Raw genomic sequence first — 12,788 nt, 5'->3', positions numbered from 1 at the left:
AGAAAGGACTGGAAACCCAACAATTTTTTTTCTTCTTTTTTAAGGCAAAACAATCCAGGCCCAACAAAAACAAAATAATCTCTCTGACAGATCACTGGGATGGTTGGACCTTTCTCCTGACAAATCACAACAGGGCCTACAGATGTGGAGTTCACCCATCAAGCCCAGTCACATGCCCAGGATTACTAAGGCAAAGAATTGTGAATTTCATTAAATATGTTAAAGGGGAAAAAATCAGCTTTGAAAAATAGTAATCCTGTCTTTCAACAAAAATATTATAGGAAGCTATGAATTTGGTAGATCGGAATAGGGTGTTGGTACATGTTTTACTAAGGTAATATAATGGTACACTATTATTAGATCACATTAATCATTACTGTGCCAACGGCACTGACAGCCCCACTGAAAAGGATTGAAAGGCTTGGTAATGGATATAAATTACCCATTGTGTGATAAAAGGATTTTTACTAAGAAGGTAAGAATAAAACAGCAAATTTCTAATATAACTGTTGTGTAAAAATCAAAATAAAAGTAATCCACGGTCAGGAATATCCACAAAATCAGAAGTAAGCACTTTTCCAGCAAGATAAAGTCACAATAAAAAAAAATATATATTCAGTACAACATAAAATTAATTTCTGAGTGCATAATTCTGCTATCAATTTCCCTGGTTTATGTAGTGACCTCTGAGACGTGTGGTCAGGAGAAGGTGGGCTGGGCTAATTACAACCGAGGGTGAGTTAACAGAGATATCAGGGGCAGCCTCAGATGAGGCCACCAAAGATATCAAATACATATGTCACCCTTTGTTTTGTATTTTAAGTTTGTATCAGCTCCCATGCCGGAAATACACCCCGTCAGGAGTTTGCAATCTGGAGTCTGATTGAGGTGACAAACACGGAGCAGCTTTGGGACAGGATTTGTCCAAGACTGGGCCAAGCCACTGAGTCACCTGGTGAGTGATGGGGAGCCCGACCACAGGTGGCACTTGGACGAGGTCACTCGGCCTTTAGCAAAAGCCCCACCAGCTCTCAGCCCTGGTTCCAGGCTGCTGGCTGGCAGATAGGGACTCAGGGTGTCACGCAAGAGAGAAAGAAGTCACCCTTGTTGGGCTTTGCCTCATGGGGGAACCTGTTCAGAGACTCAAGAACATGTCTCCACATTGTAGTTCACCCCGCCCACAAGATATGGAACCCATGCTACCTCCCAGACACCTGTGACTCTGGAAGTTTCTCCATAGCTCTGCATAGGGATCAGCAGCCCAGAGAAGGCAGCCTGGACTTCCCCACAAACTCAGACAGACACCAGTTCAACAAACTACAAATCGATGGTCCTTACCAGGCAAGTCTTAAAGCAATGGATCTCCCTCCCGGTTGAAGGATATTCTTAAAGCCGTGGTGGTCAGGAACTGCAAAAATAAGACCTGTTAGAAACTGTAAATGTCACATAAGTCGACTTCAGTAAGTCACATAAACAGCATTCATCCAAAGTAACAATTTGCTGGGTTAGTTGAGAGCCTAAAAAACTTGAATAGCCCCACTGCCCCCAATTCTTTGAGCAATTTAAAAAATGGGAACTATGTGACCTTTGCTGCAATGAACCAAATTTCCTCAGCTTGTTTTCAGTGGGAAATCGCCACCTGCACAAAAAGAACTTCTAACCATCTCTTATCTTCTCTATATGGGACAGAAGAAATAGGAGCTAATATTATAAGGGCTCTCTCTCTCTCTCTCTCTCCCTCTCTCTCTCTTTCTCTCTCGCTGTCTCTCTTCTTTAGAATTCTCAAAGTGAAGAAGTACCCAAGGGTCCTTGCTTTTTCCCTGATTGATTTATGGAGCCCTCTACAGTAGACCAAAATTCCACCCAAATTTCAACTGGCCAAACCTGTTTGGTAGCCAGTGGATACAGAATGGGAATCTGCAACTGACTGAGGCTTAGAGATGTTGTGTTTGGCATCAACGTCCTCTCTCCCGAACCCAGACCAGGAAAGCAGCAGCCAGTGAGATTTTCTACTTCTTCATTCTGTTTTATCACTGATGTAAGTCCCACATGGGTGATCTCACCTCCTACGGCATGCTCAGAGGTGATAAAGGACAAGAAGGAAAGCTGGGATGTTCATCTATGATGGATGCAGAGCTGCTGGCTAGGGGGTAATCAAGGAAGGCCAGCCCCCAGCCTGTGATCTCCAGCCCACTCCTCACCCAGTGCAATTTGGATTCTCATTTGTTTTGCCATGTCACGGAAGGGATGTTATGGGGCAAACATAAGTTCCCTTAATAAATTATATTTTACTGAAAGTGAAGTTGTAAATTCTGATCACAGAGGTAGAATTTCGCTATGGATTCAGAAAATCTGATTCTGCCCATGGAAAACCAGAAGATACATTTGTAGGACTGGTGGCAGCCCCAGCCGAAGAAGTTTGTACTGATTGAACCACTGGCTTGCAACACTTCATTCAACTCCAAGGCTGATTTCTGGCAACCAAAAATGTGTTTGCTGACTGCATGCTCGAAAAGTGTTTTCTCAGGGTGCCACAGGGAAGCTGCTGTCTGTAAACACATTTCTACCTGCCTATCTTGAGACATAAAGCAAAACCTGATGTCTCAACCATCTCCAACACGGAAAGAAATTACATCTCAGTGTCTGTCTGTCTGTCTCTCTCTCTTCCCTGAACCAGATGATCTTTTGCATTTTTTTTTGTTTTTTTCCCCGTGTCACTCAAAATCTAAGGAGTGAGGAACAAATGCCCAATGCTACACTTTCCAAAGTTCTGTCCTATCGCTGAGCTAAACAGGTCCCCAGCACCCAGCCGGCTCTGAAAACACTTATTTGCTTTGCTCTACGACCTCCTTATGTTTAGGGAGGGGGTTGCAGGAGATGGGAGACACACTCAGATTTTATATCTAAGCTCATGACTTGCAAAATTCTAGGACTATTCTCCAGGGGCCATTCACTTAGAGGCCCTGTAAATTCCAATGACAGGAGAACACAGAGAGTCTTCATCGGGGGAAGTCCCACACCGGTTTGTCCAGCTTCACGCCATTGATCAGAACACCGTCTCCTGCAGTTGGCACCGGGGCAGTGATGGGCACAAACCCCTCAGGTTCTATGCTCTAAATCATGAAAGGGCCCAGCACAAGCCTCGTGGCTACATTGGAGGCTGTGCTCTTCCAACAGATTAGTGGGCTTATGCAAGGGTGTCTGACCTGCGTGGGCAAGGTTAGCCCAACACGCCAGTAGGGCAGCTGACGAGTACAGCCTCACTGGGCCCTTAGGAAAAGAAATCAAGTTAGTTCCATCTGTGCCTTTCTGATCCAGTCTAAACAGGAGGAGGCTCCTGGTGTCTGATGTTGTTACAGTCACTGCGGGTCGGGGAAAGGTGACTCCATCTGACCACAGATGCTCTCGTGATGCAGGGTGGGGAGGAAGGGAAGCACCAGCAGAGTCATTCTGTCTTCCTCAATGAAAGAAACAGCTCTTTTGGTGCAAGTAAGTGACTTGTATTTAGACATAACACAGTCAGTGGCATAACCAGAAGCAGCCTGGACGTGAGGCCTCCCCTTGCCCTGTCCCCCACAGGGACCCCAACCTGAGGGGCCACCCAGGAGACTCTGTCCATGAGCCCAGTTTGGTGCAGCTCAGAGTAGGGGTGGGAAGGGGAAGATTGCAAAGGCGACAAAAAGCATGGTATGAACTAAGTGGGGGTTGGGTAGCCCCCACCTCATCAAAATAAGGGAACCTCCACAGGTGCGTTTTCAGTGCTTGAAATTCCACTCGCTGTACACTGATGGCTCCTGCTTCCCTCTTAAAGCACAGATAAGGCTCCCACGCAGCCCTCCCCAGCAACATGGATGAGCTTAGGAGGCCTGTTCACTCAGTGGCTTGGAGACTCCCTTCCCAGCACCTGTGGTGCACTGGGGCCTCTGGGGTAGGTCAGGGGCCAAGCAGGTCTGCCCATCAGATACCACCCATCGTGTGAAGGTCCCGGTTGCCAGGACAAGGAGCACATCAAAGGCAGGGCACCAGGAGAGGGGCAGAGTTGAGTCAAGCCCTTAAGCAAGTGCAGGCAGGGCCCTGGTGGAGACAGGGCTGGAGGCCAGGAAGGGGCACAGAAGTGCAACAGAGTGGCCGCAACTTCCAGAAAGGGGAGTGAGAAGGTTTGCAGGGGCTAAAGAAGGGAAGGCTGAATGGCCATTTCCTGGGTGGACCCTGGCTGGAGTACAGCAGGGATGCAGGCTGCTGGGGAGCGAGGAGGGAGAAAGGGAGACTTCCTAGAGCCAGAGGTACTTCCAAGGCCTCTCTGAGGAAGGGGAGACAAGAGCAGGAGTGGAAAGTTCTGAGAGAGGGACTTCAAAGGGGAAGTGGGAGCACAGGAAGATATGGGGGGCACCAACCAAGCGAGGAAGTGGAAGGTGCCTCGGCAGCTCTGACCCATCCTGACACACAGTGGGCCTACCCCAAGTCCACACACCCCCATCCCTGTGAATTCCACAGGCAAGGCAGGACCCACCCAGCAGCCCAGCCATGTTCACTGAATGAGCCCCGCTGAACGCAGACATACAAGCTAGCCCTGCACGGGCCCCTCTGTCCACCAAAGCAGGAGGCCACAAGGGCTCCCCACAGGGGATGAGGCACCCTCCTCCCTCCCATATCGTCCCAGAGCTGCCTACACAGGAGCCCTGAAGGAGCCAGAGAAACCCTCCCTGAGCAAAAGCCCAGCCTGCCCGACTCAGACCCATGGGCTCTGAGGGAGAGAGTGATTGGCCAGTCAAGAGATGAGCAGAGACGGGGTACCCCCAGCATCACCATGGCTCTGAGATGGGCCCTGAGTTTAGCACAGAGCGGTCCTCCAGGCCAGCGAGTTTCCTGCCTGTGGGCAGTGCACACCTGTCTCCACCCCACACCATGACAATTTGGAGGATATGAGAGCAGCAATGAATGTCACCATCACTGAGGCCACAGCAAACCCCGGGCACATGCAGAGGACAGTCCAGCACTTGGGGAAAGGGTGGTGTCAGACTCTCCTTCCAGCCCCTCACCTCTGTCAGAGGACCTAGGTGGATGGGAGGGAGTAGGGGAGGGAAGTTAAGACAGAAGGATGGAAGGAGAACAGACGGGAGGATGGGAATGGAAGGATGGAGGAAAGATAGAGTAGAGAGGGAGGAGAGAAGGAGAGAAGGATGAAGATGGATGCAAAAATGGAAGTGGGAGGGAAAACAAAAGTAAGGGGGGCAGGAGGAAAGAGAGGGTCTGAAGGTGGAAGGGAGGATGAAAGAAAAGGGGCAGATGGAAGGGTGAAAGTGCAGATGGAAGGATGGAGGTGAGGCGGATGGAAGGATGAAAGTGCAGATGGACAGATGGAGGCGAGGCGGATGGTTGGGAGGAAAGGTGCGAGGGCTGCTTCAATTTCCCCTCCTGGCCCATGTTCCATTCTCTCCTGCGGGAGGTGGAGTGTATTCCTGGGGAGACACAGGATGGCCCTTCCCCGGATGGGTCACTGGGAGGTCTGGCAGCAGGAGCAGGGGCTGTCTGCGGAGGCATCTGAGTGAGTGGCAATTGGGAGCCAGGGAAACTACTTTCCTTCCAGAAAAGAGTTGGGCAAGGAGGATTTGGAGAGAAAGCCAGTCCGGCTCCTTCGGCCCTCTGCCCGGGGAAGGACATGGTTTAGAGCTCCAGAGGGGAAACAGCTGGGTGCCCAACTAAGTCTCCCCACAGATGACACTTGAGTGCAGTGGCTCCCAAGCAATGCCTCGGAACCCCCTCTACCAAGAGCAGGCTCTCTGCGTCCCAAGATACACAGAGCGTCTTCTCCAGTGTGCACCCCCTGGGTGCTGGCAACTTCCCTCCCATGGTTCTGAGACCTCCTCCCAGCCCAGAGCTTGATATTCTCAAGTTCCACTAGCAACAAGGACCCTACCAAAAAACCGCAGCTCCTCCAACCGGATCTGGAAGTTTTCTCCAAGCACTGAGTGATTCTCTCTTTCTCAGACAACGCTGGGGGATGAACATGGCCCCAAATGACACACCCATTGTTGCTACAGATTTCCAACAGGAAGGGGGTCCTGGTGTGGAAAGCTCCCAGGGAGCTTTCTCTCGGAGAATCAGCCACTCACTCAACCATTATCCACCCAGCACCCCTGCAGTCAGGCTCTATTCTATTTCTGGGGATCCAGTGATAAACATCGTGTCCACCTGCATGGAGCTCATGTTTCCGAGACCAGATTCAAATGAAAGACAAAAGTAAAATATGCCAGCAAATAACAATCTCTAAGAAGATAATAAAGCTGGAGGAAGTGACAGTGACAATCAGAGAAGACCTCTCTAAGGAAGCAACATCTGGCAAGGGACCGGAATAAAGTAAGGGAGTGAGCCCTGCGAGAATGCGGGCAACGGCGGTACAGGAAGAGTGAACAGCAAGTGCAAAGGCCCTGAGGTTGGATGGAGATGGTGCATTCAAGGAGCGCTGAGACATTCCCTGCGGCCTGGGTATGGATAGTGAGTGGGAGAATGGATGAAGATAGGCTTTTTAGGATCCACGTACCTAGTCGGAAAGGGTTTTATCCTGAGCCACTGGTAGATTTTGGGCACAGGAAAAACATGATCTATTTGCACTGTATGCCTGCTACGAAAGGAGCAGACAAGAGGGGGTCAGAGAGGAGGCAGGGGGACCCATGGGGGAGGCTGCTGCAGGTGTGTAAGTAAGCGAGGATCTGGTGTGAGCTGGAGAGAGAGCAGTGGCAGGGGAAAGGCAGGCATATTCGGGATGTGTTCCATGACAAAGCAGTGAGACCTGCCAAGTAGAACACCAAGAGTAAGGAGAGCCCAGAGTCAGCCACGCTCACCCTGGCCCAGGACCCAGGGGGCACAGGGAACCAGCTCCCAAACCAGCCTCAGCCCAGGACCCAGGTGTGTTCACCAAAAGGTTCTGATGCCCTGACATCTTGGGGCCTTGCTGGCCCCAGAAAGACTGCCCTGCTAGAGTTGGTAAATGACTCCCCGGGAGCTCCTTTCATATATAAAACAGCCAGTCCAAACCACACCGCCCACACCACCTTTACTGGGCTCTCACAGGGCCTCCCCACTTGGGGCCACTATCCTCCTGCCCTAATCGCCCATGGCCAGAAACCAGACAACTAGAAGCAACCCCTATGGTCCATGCCTGTGGAAACCACTCAAACGAGCCAATTCAAACCCTCCCAGCCCTGCCTTGCCTTGCCTTTCCCTGGGAAGCTATGATAAAGGCTCTTGTCCCTCTTCTCCCCTCTCGCCTTCTGCCTCCCAGGAATCCTGGTGCTTCTCCATGTGATCCCCACGTGGCATGGCATGTCTTCCTCTTGGGAACTGTGAGTAACAAACTGTCCCTTCAATCTCAGTTGTCTCCTGCCCTGTTGGCCACGCCATATCTGAATAATAATAAAACCTACATTTCAAAACATCGGGTCCCAAGTCACCAGCACGAAGCCCGCGTAGGAGAGGACAGGGCCCAGAGAGAGTGTGAGTTGGATTCTGCTGAAGACAGCACCGCCCACAAGGTTCTTGCTGTCAGGGTCATGCTGAAGCCACCACCCTCCTCCCAGAGGGCATGACATACCAACGGAGAAATGGTCACCCTCTGCTAACTTCTGCCAGAGCAGGTGCCTGAGCTGTTATTCGACAGCCACAATGTGTCTCAAAGAGGAGGACAAGCACTAGAAACTTGGCAAGATCTTTCCCAAAACCCATTAGCCCACTCCACAGGGTCCCACAACGGACACGCTGCCATCAGGCCTCCGCACACAGGCGGTAGCACCTGTATGAGTGTGTGTGTGGGTATGTGCATGTATGTGTGCACGTGTGAGCATTCACATGCATGTTGGAGGTAGACAGCAGTTGCCACCCTGACACAGAGCCCAGCATCATACGACACGGCTGAAATATTATAACACAGAGCGCGTAGGGCTGCCCAGACACGCTTCCAAAGGAAGCCTCTTCTTTCATTTTAAAACAAAGGTAACTTTGATGGAGAAGCTATTTGATACCTGTTCGATCTAAATGCTTTCAGGATACACAGACATCAGAAGCTCACAGAAACCTGATACCCTACAATATCGGACCAGGCTCGGGGATGATAAAAGAGGAGTGGAGAGGCTTCCTCTCATCAGCTCGCCTGCCCTGTGCATGTATTTTTACATGCTTTAGCATGAAAAAAAGCCAAGATGCTCAGAGCCAATCAAATTACACCCCTGTCTCTTTAATAAACAAATCCATGTGCACATCAACAGTGTTGAAAATTCAATTTAAACTCTTTGTCTGTTGCCGCTTACTCTAAAGATGGTCTTTCTTAAACAACAGAACACCAAGGAGTCGTTAGTGCTCTCTCTTCATTACTTCAAAAAACCAATCATTAGACACCAGAGTATATACGTAATTAGAAAATCACTTCCTTTGCAATCCAAGCTAAGTAGTTTACATACTGTAATTACAGGGACAAAATCAATTTTTAATCATTTCCCTGATTGGGCTCATCAGCTCTGTGGGAACATTGTAACCTGCTTGTTGTGCAAAAGCAACATCTGGGCTAAAACAATTACCCTTTGTTTGCTACAATATTCCTTAAATCTTTTTGCTTGCATAAAAAAAAAAAACATGAAGACAAGATATTTGGATGTCTTTGTGTCCTTGATCAACATATATCCGAAAGTTCTCCTGGTGACGTGAGCTTAATGTTCGCCGGAATTTACGGTTTAACAGTACACATCCAAGGAATGTATTTTTTCAGTGAGATAAAAGTATCTGATTGTTTTAAAGATCCATTCAGCTGCCTAATTGTTCCATAGCTAACACATGGTATTCAAACAACCCACACATTACAAAAGCTCATCTGGGTAATCACGGGCAACTATTATGGCGATGGTTTACACTTTTCTAATACAAATGAATGGATTTTATCAAAATTTAAAAAAAACTAAAAAGCTGAGTATGTGTGAAAAATAGTTGGTATGAATTGGCAAGGCAGGGCTGAGCATTTTGTTCTCTTAATAGGAAATGACCTCATTTACACTGGAGTAATAATTAGTACTGCTTCACTGACAGTTAAGAAAAAAAACTTTCCCAGTATAATAAGGCAGCATCTCCTTTGTTAGGAGATCTACATTGATTATTAACCCTTGCCAAGAAATTCCAAGTTTAACTCTCCGTTCCACTGGGCTCATGCTTGCTGGCAAAAGATAAAAATAGCTGTTTTGGAAACCGTCACCTCTCACCAGATTTCCAAAGTTTTGCATCTAGCTTTTAAGTGACAATCTGAAACACTTGGTGTCCCCTTTGAAGAAACATAGAAAGCCCCCACCACCCCAACCCACAGCCACCAAGAGCTCCAGTCGGCTCCCTGCACTCCCCCGGTGGCCCTGGTCCTCCCCATCCTTTTGAAGTTTATTGGCTTTGATTATTGCTTGCAAGTCCCCAAACCTACAATTAATTCATAGTCAAAACAGCCCTGAGAAGGAAGAAAGGAGAGAGGGAAAGTGAAGGGAGAGGGGAGATACTCTTGCCGGTGATTCAGTGCAGGTTGATAGTGCAAGAGATAGGAACACTTGGGCCACTAAAGAAATGTAGTCCAGGAAGCAGCCAGTATGTATTTACACACACACACACACACACTCACACACACACACCTTCTGAGGGCTTTGTTCATTGACTGACCATTCTTGAATTCAATAAGAATGAAAACTAGCATTTACCAAGTGCCACCCAGAGTTCCAAGCATTGACACGCAATCTCACTTCATCCTTGCATCCATCTTATGAGGTGGGTATTATCATTTATTGATGAAGAACTGAGGCACTAGCCCCAAAGTTCTGTGTCTGAGGTTAAGAGCTCAGGAGATGGGGACCCAGGGTGTGAATCTCAGCAGACTGATTCCATGACCCATGCTGTGAGCCACTCAAACACACTGTGCCCCAACGCAAGGCAACAGCATCTCTTCCCTACAGCCTCGGAGAGCCTCATCTTCAGGGCAGTCAAGTCTGCCTGATGTCCGCCGGTCAGACACAGCCAGTGGCCCCCATGGCCGTATCCTCAGGAGCACGCACAGAGCTTGGCACCATTCTGCACCTGGGTTCCTACTCCCCAGCAAAAGGTGGGTGGTTCTGACCCAGGACAAGGTGAGGAAGGAGAACTTACCCTGTAGGTCAGTGTTCTTAGGGTAAGAAGTGCAAACTAGATGCAGGCATTTTCTACAAGGGCAGGGAGCACTGGCTAACAAGCTGCCAAGCTGGTGGATTTCCAGAGCCTAACCACACTCAGGATGGAGTCCTCCAGCTCCCCCAGAGGCCATGGTCTCCAGCAGTCAGTGCCTGGCAGGCTCTCCCTGAACCTCGCTCCACCCAATGTCTTTGCCCTGGATCTCTCACCCCATCCACAAGGATGAAGACCCCACTCAGCTCAAGACTTGGCAGGACAACAAAACTAAGACAATTCTGGCCGCCAGAGATGGAATGATGCAAACGGGGGAAAAATCCAGAAAATTATAAAGGCTTTCTAATAGAGTGTATCACCACATGAACTCAACATACGTATCGCTTTACAGAAAGTACTTCATAGCATCATCAAACCCCAAGATATCTATGAAGTAATGCATCTTGAAGAAGAGATGTAAAATAACTGGAAACTGGAGAGTTGTTTTCTGTTCCACCTGTGCTACCAGAGGTAATGCTGCTTGCTGTGCTGATATTCTGCTTGATAAATATCACTCGAATGTTCAGACATCTAGCAGGTGTCATGCTGATTACCTGGGTGACGAAATGGTCTATACACCAAACCTCCGTGACACACAACTTACCCATGTAACAAGCCAGCCCATGTACCCCCTTGAACCTAAAATAAAAGTTGGAAAGAAAAAAGATACATTCTGCCATCACATAGAACTGCACTGTCCAAGCTGGTAGCCACTGGCCACACGTGGCAACTGAGCACTTGAAATCTGGCCAGTCCAAATTGAGATGCGCTGTGAGTGTAAACTACAAATTGCATTTGGAAGAATGAAAAATGTCTCATTAATATTCTTTATACTTTTTATGTGTTGAAATGATAATATTATGGATACACTGAATTAAACAAAATATAATGTGGCTATTAGAAAATTCAAAAATGCATGCATGACTTGTACTTGTGGTTTGCACTATATTTCTATTGTGCAGTGCAGATTCTGAGCTTAGCAAAATAATCTGGCATTTCGACAGTCAAATTTGGTCATACTAAAAATTTGCTTGTTTTCCAAAGCAGGTTTTTAGAGAACACATATTATCACGGATATCACTTGAAACGTTGGTCCCCCTGATCTCTGAAGTCGAAATGAAAGTTATGCCACTTCTAACGGAACTATCTTGGTATCTCCTTTACAGGGGTCACTTTTTGTTTAATCTCATTTACTTTTTACTTTTTAAAATTGGTTATTCAAGTTATATATGCTCATTTGTAGAAAATTTGGAATATACAAGATATTAGAAAGAGGAAAATAATAATCCATAATTCTATTAACTGATATAATGGCTGTTGATATTTTGGTGCATTTCTTTCCATTCTTGCACATATATGCATGCATATGTGTTAATGAACACATGTGTACATGTATATGTATTCATGAACATAGTTAAGAACATACATCATGTGTATCTTTGACTCCAAATTTCTCAAAATCTCAGGTTTCAAATGCAAATCGATGCTGCTCGGCCACATAAAAATAAAAGCCACTGGCTAAAGTAGCTTAGTTTCCACAAGTGTTAAGAAGAGAAAGGGTTAAGAGAATGAAAAGACAAGCTACACATTGGAGAAAGTTTTTGCAAAACACATATCTGATAAAGGACTGGTATCTGAAATATGCGAAGAACTCTTAAAACTCAACAGTAAGAAATAAACAGCCCAATTTAAAAATGGGCAAAAGATCTGAACAGGTACGTCCCCAAAGAAGATATACAGACAGAAAATAAGCATATGAAAAGATACTCAACATCCTATGTCACCAGGGACTTGCAAATGCAAACAAAAATGAAATACCACTACACCCCTATCACAACAGCTAAAATTCAAAACACTGACAACATCAAATGCTGAGGAGGACATGGAGCAACAGGAACTCTCATTCACTGCTAGGGGAAAGCCACGTGGCAAGACAGTTTGGCAGTCTCTTACAAGGCTAAATATTGTCTTATCAAGCAATCCAGCAATCATGCTCCTTGATATTTATACAAATGAGTGGAAACTTAGGTATACACACACACACACACACACACAATCTGCATGGCCAGGTGCAGTGGTTCATGCCTGTAATCCCAGCACTTCAAAAGGTCGAGGCAGGAGGATCGTTTGATCCTAGGAGTTTAAGACCATTCTCAGCAGCATAGTGAGACCCTGTCTCTACAAAAATTTTAAAATTAGCCAGGTGTGGTGGTGCATACCTGCAGTCAAGATGCTGAGGCAGGATGATTGCTTTAGCCTGGGAGGTCGAGGCTGAAGTGAGCTATGATTGTGCTGCTGCACTCCAGCCTGGGCAATAAAGCAAGACCCTGTCTCTTAAAAAGTAAAAAATTTAAAAAAAAATGCGCATGAATGTTTATAGCAGAATGTTTATTGAATGTTATTATGAATCACATAATTGCCCAAACTTGGAAGCAACCAAGATGTCTTTTAAGAGGTGAATAGCTCGATTGTGGTACATCCATATAATGGAATATTATTCAGCAATAAAAAGAAATGAGCTATCTAACCATGAAAAGACATGGAGAAAATTTAAATGCATATTTCTAAGTGAA

The 12,788-nt window shown here is 47.0% G+C and overlaps 1 protein-coding gene across 42 annotated transcripts in view, besides 1 other annotated feature; it reads right to left on the bottom strand.

Moving 5' to 3' along the window:
- ZNF536 (zinc finger protein 536) overlaps positions 1–12,788 on the bottom strand; it is a 487,995-nt gene that overhangs the window by 428,107 nt on the left and 47,100 nt on the right. For 38 of the 42 annotated variants that reach the window (XM_047439770.1, XM_011527554.3, XM_047439763.1 and 35 more), the window contains exon 2: positions 1,339–1,408. The exons of the other annotated variants lie outside the window; for them this stretch is intronic. The gene's annotated coding sequence lies outside the window, so the exon portion shown is untranslated. The remainder of the gene's footprint in view (positions 1–1,338; positions 1,409–12,788) is intronic. 42 annotated transcript variants of the gene reach the window in all.
- Positions 8,114–9,329: an enhancer, noted in NCBI's record as "VISTA enhancer hs383". NCBI's record gives its function as "enhancer in: heart[3/7]" and the evidence as "EXISTENCE:transgenic organism evidence [ECO:0001131][PMID:17130149]".

Source organism: Homo sapiens, chromosome 19 (genome assembly GCF_000001405.40).
Source record: "Homo sapiens chromosome 19, GRCh38.p14 Primary Assembly".
Taxonomy (NCBI): Eukaryota; Metazoa; Chordata; class Mammalia; order Primates; family Hominidae; genus Homo; species Homo sapiens.
This window is presented reverse-complemented; position numbering and strand designations above follow the sequence as displayed.